We start from the raw sequence: 10739 nt of genomic DNA, 5'->3' as shown, positions 1-10739 counted from the left end.
TTCTGTAACTGTGGAAATGATCATATGAGTTTTGCCATTTATTTTATTTATTGGCTATTTTACATTGATTGATTTTCAGATGTTAAACCAACTTTGCAATCTTGGGATATGTCCCAGTGCATCAAGATATATAATTATTTACATACATTGCTGGGCTCAGTTAGTTGGCATTATGTTAAGAAATATCTCCTTCTTCTTTGAAGGTTAGTTTTGCTGGATATAAAATTTGGGGTTGATATTTACTTTCAGCACTTTTGGTATGTTATCCCATTGCCTTTTGAACTCCGTGGTTACTGACTGAAAATCAGCTGTTAATGTTATTGAGATTATCTTGCACATGATGAGCTGGTTTTCTCTTAAATCTTTTTATGATCTAGAAATAGATTTTTTTATCTAGAAATAGATTTCTTTGAACATTTAAAACTGATATATACTCGAGCATATAAAATTGTAGAAGCTGAAGAATTGCAAAAGCAAAACTCTTTAAAAAATGTGTTTAGCCAGTGAAACTCCCTGAAACTCTATTCAAGCTGTGCCAAACCTGGGCCTTATTTCCTCTTACTTGATTCTGTCATCTCTTTTATTTCTCCCTTCAAAGCCACATTCTTCACCAACTATTTAATTTAAACTTCATACTCTTATTTTTCTAAGAAATAATAAGGACATTAATTTAACTATTTAACATTGTTAATCCACTTCACTCTTTTCTGAAAACAACCAGGAGTATACCTAAATATTCTGAGAAGAACTGTCCGTCAAGTTACAGGTTATTTCCTTTGACAAAAATTTTAAATAGCATTAGCAAGGGCTCTTGTACCATTCTCATTCATTAAGACAAAGATTCATAATCTGATCTGAGCATTATAGTCCTCAGTGCAGATGATGAGACTAAATGAAAATGCTTACTTCTTCACACTGTTCCCAATCACTATGCAAAGTGCAGTTATACAACAAAAGTGTGAAATTCCTTTCTATTTCTTTGAAAATAAGTCATTTAAGAAACTTATTTTGCTGTAATTTGGTTGATAACATATAGTGATTTTTTTAAAAGTTTAAGGTAGCGGTATCTTCACCAGAAAACTGTTTTTGCATTATGTTTAATTGTTGGTCTTTCATGATAAGACTAACAGAGATAGAAATGTAAAGAGTTTATACAAAATTTAAAATACTTATTTTTTGATAAATCAAGATTACTGAGTTAAGAGATGTGAACTGGACATACCAATGTAAACACTTTTTATATTCAAAAAGCTATAAAAGATAAAAAGAAAATTATCCATAAAGTGTTTAATGTTAAATAGCAAGAAGTTTAAAACAACACATTCGGTATGATTCCAATTTTGGAAAAAGAAAAAAAAGCTAATTTTATGAACACATATAGAGTGTGTATGTGTGTATATATAGGTGTATGTGTATTTATATGTGTGTGTGTGTGTATTTAACCACATACATACTTGTGTAATACACACACTATACACAAATGTAATAGCAAACTGATTTCTTCTAGAAAGTAAGGTAGTAGGATTGGGGATTAGAGCTTCAGGGATAATTTTATAGTTTATTTTACATATAAATGCATGGCTTTATTTATAAATTATAAATAATTATAAATGTATAAATAAATGTATTTAAAAATAGTATTTTAAAATAAAGCAATAAACTTGTGCTTTTCATTAAGACATAATACCAAAGTCCACTTGTGTTATTTAGTTGAAAATCTGGTTAGTCAGTGAGTTTCCAGGGGGAATCATCATTATTAAAATGGAATATTAAATTTTATGTGTATTCTCATATACTATAGAGGGCAATGTAAATATATATGGATTTCTGGGAAAGCAAACTGACATTATGTAATCGGCACTTAAAATTGTTTAGTTTTTCACATATTTTTGATGAGAATAAATAGTAACCCAGAAGATATTACTAGTTGGCAGGGATGCTAGGTTTCAAATTAAGGGTGAACTAGATATAAAATTAAATATTCAATGCAGTGTTATTTATTATAGTCAAACACTATGAACAATCCAAATTTGCTGCAGAAGGGAGATGTTCAAATAAACTAGTTGAGTTCCCACAATATCTTTTAAGCCAGTATTTACTGACATGAGAATATAATCATAATATAACAATTTTGTATTTTAACAGACTTGCAAATGGTATTCACAAAATGTTATCTTCTTTATAAATAGATACTCACATGTAGAAAAATATGGGAAGAAACAAAATACATTGTTATTAGCTTTTATCCCTGCCTGGTAATGAGATTATATGTTTTTAAATTTCTTTTGAAATAGATATATGGTCTCTAATTACAGAAAATGAGATGTGCTTCCTTCATAATTGGAAATAAAAATAATGCTTTTTAAGAGGCAAAATTATAATATATTTCCTATAGGATTTATTTTTGATTCATAAAGATTAATGGGTATTTATTAGATATTTATTGGCTTTGAATTTTCTGCTTTTTATGAAGTTCTTCAAGAGAAAATAATATCAAGAAGATAAAGCTGTGACTGATAGTATTTATGTAGAAAAATAATTTTTCTTTACTATTTAGCAGAGAAGAGCTTTTCTCATCATCCACAGGAGAGAAGGATAGTAAATCTCAAGTATTTTACGACTATCAGGTCAATGCAGCACATTTTTCTATCAAAGAATGCAGCAAACTGTGAGAATGTATAATCCCTGCAAATGCTTCTCTAGAAAAATGCCAATGGCTTCTACCCATAAAATGAGAAAGAAAAATGCATTGTCATGAATGATGAGAAGAGGGAAGCACTATGTCAATAGAATGACATTTTTAGAATTTCAACTGCATAGAAAGAGATGTCAGAATAGATTTGAGGGGGTGGAATTCATAGGAATTTATATTCTTGGATGCCGTTTGTATGTTATTTTTATTATAATATCTTAATTTGTTTACACTTATTCATATAATCAGAAAAGCTTTAATAATACTAATTAACAATTGTCTTGTGTCAGGCACTGTTCTAAACCTTGGGTATACAAGGCACATTTTGGCTCCAGATAAATTTACACTTAAGAAGAAGTTTTTTCAACAGTGTCCAAAAAGGATTTGAAACAATTATAGAAAAAACACAAGCAATTCTAATGTCTGTTATTGCCTTTGTTACCAGGAAACAATCAGATTTGAAACATCATAAATTAACCTGTTATTCTGAATCAGACTCTGTTCTTTTTCCTTGGATCTCTAACATCTTGACATAAGAGGATTAGTTGGCACAAAACAATAAGCAAGATAAACTTAATTTGGTGGCTGGTGTGTGAAGCAGGTCATTCCCACTTCTTCATGCATCTGATTATTAGAACATCCACCACCTCAATCACAAAAGCTAGAAAGAAGAGTAGGTGGGCTTAATGGGAGCCTTGTAGAATCAACAGTATGCCCTTTTGAGACTTGCCTCAAGGAAGTATAGTGGAATCTCTTATTTAATATTAGTTATTGTTATTGCACCATTTATTGTCAATTTTTACCAATTTATAGAGAAATGACTATGAATTATCAATAAATGTATGAAAAGTCCCTCTAGCTCATAAATATAAAAAATATAGCAAAATAAGGTTATCATATTAGTAATCATTTAAAACATTGCAATATCCAGTGTAGGTGAAGTGGGAGCATTTTACTCTCATATGCTGTTTGTGGGTTTGCAGATTGGTACAACTATTTTGTGGAGCAATGTGACATTGACATCAACATGTTAAAGTGGAAATTCTCATTCCGCCGTTATCATAGCTCCATGAAAGTCTTTACTTCCATGTGCTCTTGTCTCTGATGGTTTTATCATTGCCATCTGCCTTACTCTCTTCTTCCAGTGGCCAAAGTATTGACAGATTCCATACCCATCATTATGGGAGAAAGCAAATCCAGTTCTTTTTCCTGTGGTGGTTTCTTTTCTCATACTTGGCTATTCTAGGTTCTGAGTCTTTTAGCAGTACCTAGGGGGTTCCTTATTATTACTTCTCTTATACGCCAAAATGATTCATTTTGTTTCTCTTTCCTGTTTACATAATATAATGCGTTATTTTCTGCTACTCTTTACAGCGGTTTCGTAAGTTTGCTGGGTGAGAGTCTTTTTCTCCTCTGCAGCCCCTGACCATTTCAGTGCTACAGAAATGAAAGGGAGCTGTCATATCCATAGATACTCACATATTTATTTTTATTTTTTGTAATTCCAACTTTTATTTTAGATTAAGAGTACATGTGCAGGTTCGTTACATGGTTATATTGCATGATGCTGAAGTTCATGGTACAAATAGTCTCCTCACCCAGGTAGTGAGCATGGTACCCAAAAGGTCTCCCCTCTCTCTCCCTCTCTAGTGGTCCGCAGTGTTTATTGTTCCCATCTTTATGGCTATGTGTGTCCAATGTTTAGCTCCTGCTAATGATGGCAGAAGTGAAATTAGTACATTTTTCTGAATATGTTTCAATAACTAATCTTGTGAGCTATGAGAATGCTAGGCCTCAGAGCACATGACAAAAATTACTCTAACTAGTGGAAGAGCAGGTATTACTTTGACAATGGTTTAGTTGTTTCAAAGATGAAAGTATTACTCATAATTATGGCAATGTTTGTTTTCAATTTTGACATCCTAATAAAAGAGACCCATAAAAAATACCATGGGCCATATTTTAGCTTATCTTACTTCAATGACAGAATTTATTTCTAGTTAAAATAAAGACTATTATTTGCTACCAAGGAAGCAAGCAGTCCCACTATGCTCTGGTAGCTCACACAAAAGACAGGACCTGAGTAAAGAAAAATATTTCTTAAAAGGGAAAAATGGGAGCTGAAGCCTTTATCATATGGCATATGGTTATGGGACTAGGGATGTTTAGGCTCCTGTATCCACACAAATATTCATATAATAACTTAAGGCAGATATCTGAAGTACTGTTATGGGGAAGAGAAAACACACACACACACACACACACATATATATATATGTATATATAGAGTAAGTATATGTATAAGTATACTTATATATATGCTTGTGTTTTCTATATATATTGTATAATACATATACAAATATTTATATAATAACTTAAGGCAGATATCTGAAGTACTGTTATGTGGAAGAGAAAACACAGGCATATATGTGTATGTGTGTGTGTGTGTGTATATGTATATGTGGAATATATACATATATACATATATACATATATACATATGTATATACGGAATATATACATATGTATATACGGAATATATACATATGTATATACGGAATATATACATATGTATATACGGAATATATACATATGTATATACGGAATATATATACATATGTATATACGGAATATATACATATGTATATACGGAATATATACATATGTATATACGGAATATATACATATGTATATACGGAATATATACATATGTATATACGGAATATATACATATGTATATACGGAATATATACATATGTATATACGGAATATATACATATATACATATATACATATGTATATACGGAATATATACATATACACATATGTATATACGGAATATATACATATATACATATATACATATGTATATACGGAATATATACATATATACATATATACATATGTATATACGGAATATATACATATATACATATGTATATACGGAATATATACATATATACATATGTATATACGGAATATATACATATATACATATGTATATACGGAATATATACATATATACATATGTATATACGGAATATATACATATATACATATACACATATGTATGTATGGAATATATACATATATACATATATACATATACACGTATGTATGTATGGAATATATACATATACACATATATACATATGTATGTATGGGATATATACATATACACATATATACATATGTATGTATGGGATATATACATATACACATATATACATATGTATGTATGGGATATATACATATACACATATATACATATGTATGTATGGGATATATACATATACACATATATACATATGTATGTATGGGATATATACATATACACATATATACATATATACATATGTATATATGGAAGAACATTAAGGAAAAGAGCTATTGCATGCTGGGCTGAATACCTAGGTGATGGGTTGATAGGTGCAGCAAACCACCGTGGTACAACTTTACCTATGTAACAAACCTGCACGTGTACCCCGGAACTTGAAAAAAAAAAAAGCAATACAATTTAAAAAAAGAAAAAAAAATACTCTCTGGGAAAAAAAACGGCATAGCCATACATAAACCTAGAAAATATAATGTATAATCATAAATGCAATAAGAAAGCACATCCAGGAGTCATCTTCACCATTTGATACTAATTTGCTCACTGGCTGCAAGGGAGGCTGGAAAAGGAGATTTAGATGAAGGGAATTGGCATTGTCATGATGGTTTGGATCAATCACAATTCATCCAAAGTTGGGAATTTCCTGCTTTAAAGAAAAAAAATAAAGGCTGTGCTCTGAGATGAAAAAAGAAAGGCAACAGCTTAGGGGTCACCACAATAAAGGCTGCTCCACATTTTTTTGGTCTGATTTTCTGCCTGTCTCCTGATGTCTTGTGAGATCCCCAACAGAAAATTTTTGTCTTGTTAAAATTTTGGTCACCTGAGCCTAATGTCAAATTCATAATTGATTGTTAAATGAATAAAATGTATTGATGTCAGGATCCTTTCCAAAAACTCTGAATCATTTCCAGGAAAAGTTTGCAAGCTGCCTGTCTAGAAGGCTTTCCCACATACTATACCTAAGTCTTTCTCCATGTTATTCCCTCTACCTGTAACATGCTTCCTCATCAGGGTCTCATCACCCACCAATCTATTTTGTCAGGTACTGTTTACACCCTCCACACCCTGGCCAGGTACCACTTCCTTGTTAAGCTGCTCTGGCCAGCCTAGGCAGAAGCTGCACCCATTCCTTCTTTTGTGTGCTTTGCTATGTTACAGGCTTATCCTCTGAGGGACACTAAGCAGTTTGAAGGAAGGGTTAGATTCATGCCTAATATTTAGCATAGTTCTTGCCACAAAGTACTTGTTCAATAATGGTATTTTAAAACCATTTGCTAAGCTTTTCGTGTGGTTCCAGCTTGAAAGCTCTGAAGAATACATATATGCACTAGGAAAGAAAAGTTCAAGAGGGTTGTGCTTCTGTCAAGAAGACATAAGAATAACAGGAATCATTGCCTTTTAAAAATTCATGTTTTTGTGATGATTAGTATAGATATTTTCCCCAAGGTTAGCCCTGGTCTTCATCAACCATTTTTTTTTTTTCTAGAAACAATGTTCAAATTTGTGTTGCTAAACTTATCACTTTTAGTTCGAGTCAAGTTTCATGAAAAGCTTAATTGTCTTTATTTCAACTTTTTCATACTTATTTAAACTTATGAAGAGAACTTATATTTTCTCACATTACCAAAGTCTAAACAATTTTTCTAAAGTGGAATGCCTAGGGGCTAGTTGTTACAGCAATTATCAATTATATTTGGCTTAATTGTTTGCAAAATTAGCTTTTTAAAGTACCATTTAATTCTCTTTCCAGTCTCACTTCTCAAGAAGGTAATTAATGAACTAACCATAATCAAATATGAATGATAAAGCACAAGAAACTTTTATATGAAATTATCATTGAACTTTTGCTATACTGTCTACCAGCTGGTGCACAGGTACTCCAGGGCACCGAATGCATTAGAGACTTCAGTGCCTCCCTTTTTACACCTCCCCCACCCTGTTATATCATTGTTTTGCAGCCACATATCTGACTTACTACTGTAATCAAAAGTCCTATCTGAATTAATCTATCACTTATTATTATAATAATTATTGCTTTGATAGTTTATGAGCTATCAAAAACATAAATTATTTTAGGAGCTGCAGAAAATACATATTAACGTTGATCTGTCCAATTTCTGTGAAGTGAATCTCCTATGACCCTAAAACTTCACCCCAATGAAAAGAACATGTCCTGAGATTTTCAGTATCCATTTCATACTCTAGGTAGCAACTGAACCTGCAACTCCTACCTCCTATGTCATAAAGAAATATAATTACTTTAAGAAAAACAAAAAGAAGCTTCTCTCCAAAATAATATCGGGCAACCCATTTAAAAGTATCTCTGGATCTGTCTTCTTTGGGATTACAGAAATATAAAACAGTATTTCCAGTGGAGGTAGCATTCAAAAATGCAATTTATTATTGTTCTCTTTTTATTGCAAATAATAACTACTATTTTAGAAGAATTGATGAATAAAAAAGAACACACACAAAAAATAGTCCAAATCAATAGTTTCTAATTCTATTAGAGCTAACCTTTATTAGTCTTAAAATGTAAAAATTTATATATGTATATTTAATATTTGCATATTTAGTACATATATAAATATGTAACTATAAATATCACATTATTCATTTTCTACATTTCTCATGGTGTTGTTTCCACATACCTTTTAATGGCCATGGAATATTTCATCATCTGGAGAGGCCATAAGCAATGCAATTAACCTCTTATTGGACATGAAGGTTTTCAACTTCTTACTATTTTGAAAACATTTCATGAAATATATACTTTTGTCTATAACTCTGATTACTTCCTAAATGTCAAATTTTAGAACTAATATTATTGGATGTATTAGTTTTCTGTCATTTTGTAAAACATACTCACCAATTTAGCAGCTTAAAACAAGATCCCTTTATTAAAAGCTCCCAATTCTGAATGGCTGAAGTCTGAGCATTGGCATGAATTCTCTGTTTGGGTTCTCACAAGGCTGAAATCAAGGTGTCAGCTGGCTGTGTCCTCATCTGAAACCTGAAGTTGTCTTCCAAGCTCACATAGTTGAATCTTAATTCAGTTTCTTTCAGCTGTAGGATTGAGGTCCCTGTTTCCTTGATGGCTCTCAGCTGGTGGCCACTTTCCACATTCTTTGTCGCATGACCCTCTCAATCTCCAAAACTGAGCAATGGAGAATCTTCCTGTATTAGTTTTCCCAGGCTGCTGTAACATACCATGGACTAGGTGGCTTAATTGACTAAAAATTATTTTCTCACTATTCTGGAGACTAGAAGTCCATGGTCAAGGTGCTGTCAGGGTAGGTTTCTGGTGAGGCCTCTCTTCCTGACTTGTAGACAGCCACCTTCTTGCTGTGTACTCACATGATCTTTCCTCTGTGTGCTTACAAAGAGAGGAGTACCTCTTCTGCTTCTTATAAAGACACCAGACCCCACCTTTATGACCCCATTTAGTCTTTATTATTTCATTATAGAACCTGTCTCTAAATACAGTCACATTGGGGGTTAGAGTTTCAACATATAAACTTCAGGGGTACACAATTTAGTCCATACCACTTTCTCATATCAGATTTTCCTTATGCTTCAAATTTTTCTTGCCAGGAAAAGTCCAGTCTTTTTAAGGGCTCAACTGATTTGGGCAAGCCCACTGAGGATAATCTCCCTATCTTAATGTTAACTGATTGGGACCTTCACAGCAGTATTATCTAGACTAGTGTTTGACTGAATAACTGGAAGATGATTTGTTTCATGATGGGGTGAGAATCTTGGGGGCCATCTTGGAAGTTGGCATACCACACTGAGTCAAAGGATAAGGTACATATGGCACTGGTGTGACATTTTAAAGCCAAAAGTAACACTGGACATTCAGTGTCACCTCTGCCACTAACTGTGCAAATCATGTCACTTCTCAGGACTTTAATTTTCCTATCTGGAAAATGAGTCTAACAACTCTGTTTCTGACCTGATATATTACCTTTTTAGGAAGAATCACCTTTAGTGCTGCTTGACAGTTTTTCTTTGTTTAACCCTTCGTCTATACTGTCCTTTATTGTTATGCACTGACAGCAGTAGCAATTTCCTCAAAAGTTAAAAAAAAATAACTGCATGAAAGTGAAAACAAATGGAGCTTAATTCTCCCCTTCTAAGAATTCTGCTCATGGTTGTGAGAATTCCCAGGGTACTTTTAGATGGACTCCTGACTTGTAATGTGCCCCTGTAGCTTCTTTAGATGGTAGAAGCTTACATCCATGAGGCTATATTTCAACACTAGATGACAGGCATTTTGGTGAGATTTTAGTATTTTCCAGTGTTACCCTTGTCATTTAATAGGCTCCTTCGAAAGTGCAGAGCACAGCGTGGTAGTACAGATCCCCGTGCTGTGAATGTCTGATCTCTTGCCTTCCCATTGAATGACTACTGCATACCTCTTGGGAGATCCTGATGCTTAGTTTCTCATTCTAATTTCTCAGCACCACCTCTGCTTTTCTCTTAATGGCTGCCATCCCCTGCAGCGCTCACCACTACATTGCCAACAGCCTCTCTTGAATTTACACAACACTGACAGTTATTCTGACTGGTCAAAGCAAGAGAAAAGATAATCTGCTTCTATCTTCATTTCTTATCAGCTTATAGTGATTCCCCATAAAATAAAACTCTTCAGCTTTTCAAACAAATTAGGCTTGCATTATGCATGATGAATTACATTATCTAGTTATATATTACCATAAGTTCTGTTAGAAGTATAGGACTTTTACAAAGTATTTCAATGGGCCATGGAATATAGGAATGGGCACTTATGGAAGACAATTATGTTTGGTATCAATGCGAGAAAAAATATTCATGATGCTTAACTGGCTCTATTCCTTGAGATGAGTAATTGACACATCATAATTATAGTTTACAATAATAATTTCCATCTTATTATTTGCATTATAGTCA

At 32.6% G+C, this 10739-nt stretch overlaps 2 annotated features.

Annotated features, from left to right (window-relative positions):
• Positions 8619 to 9151: an enhancer, noted in NCBI's record as "OCT4-NANOG hESC enhancer chr9:31617275-31617807 (GRCh37/hg19 assembly coordinates)". NCBI's record gives its function as "activates a minimal SCP1, AML or CMV promoter by ChIP-STARR-seq in naive H9 embryonic stem cells {active_cell/tissue: H9 hESC(naive)}" and the evidence as "EXISTENCE:reporter gene assay evidence [ECO:0000049][PMID:30033119]".
• Positions 9975 to 10504: an enhancer, noted in NCBI's record as "NANOG hESC enhancer chr9:31615922-31616451 (GRCh37/hg19 assembly coordinates)". NCBI's record gives its function as "activates a minimal SCP1, AML or CMV promoter by ChIP-STARR-seq in naive H9 embryonic stem cells {active_cell/tissue: H9 hESC(naive)}" and the evidence as "EXISTENCE:reporter gene assay evidence [ECO:0000049][PMID:30033119]".

The sequence above is a fragment of the Homo sapiens genome, chromosome 9 (genome assembly GCF_000001405.40).
Source record: "Homo sapiens chromosome 9, GRCh38.p14 Primary Assembly".
Taxonomy (NCBI): domain Eukaryota; kingdom Metazoa; phylum Chordata; class Mammalia; order Primates; family Hominidae; genus Homo; species Homo sapiens.
This window is presented reverse-complemented; position numbering and strand designations above follow the sequence as displayed.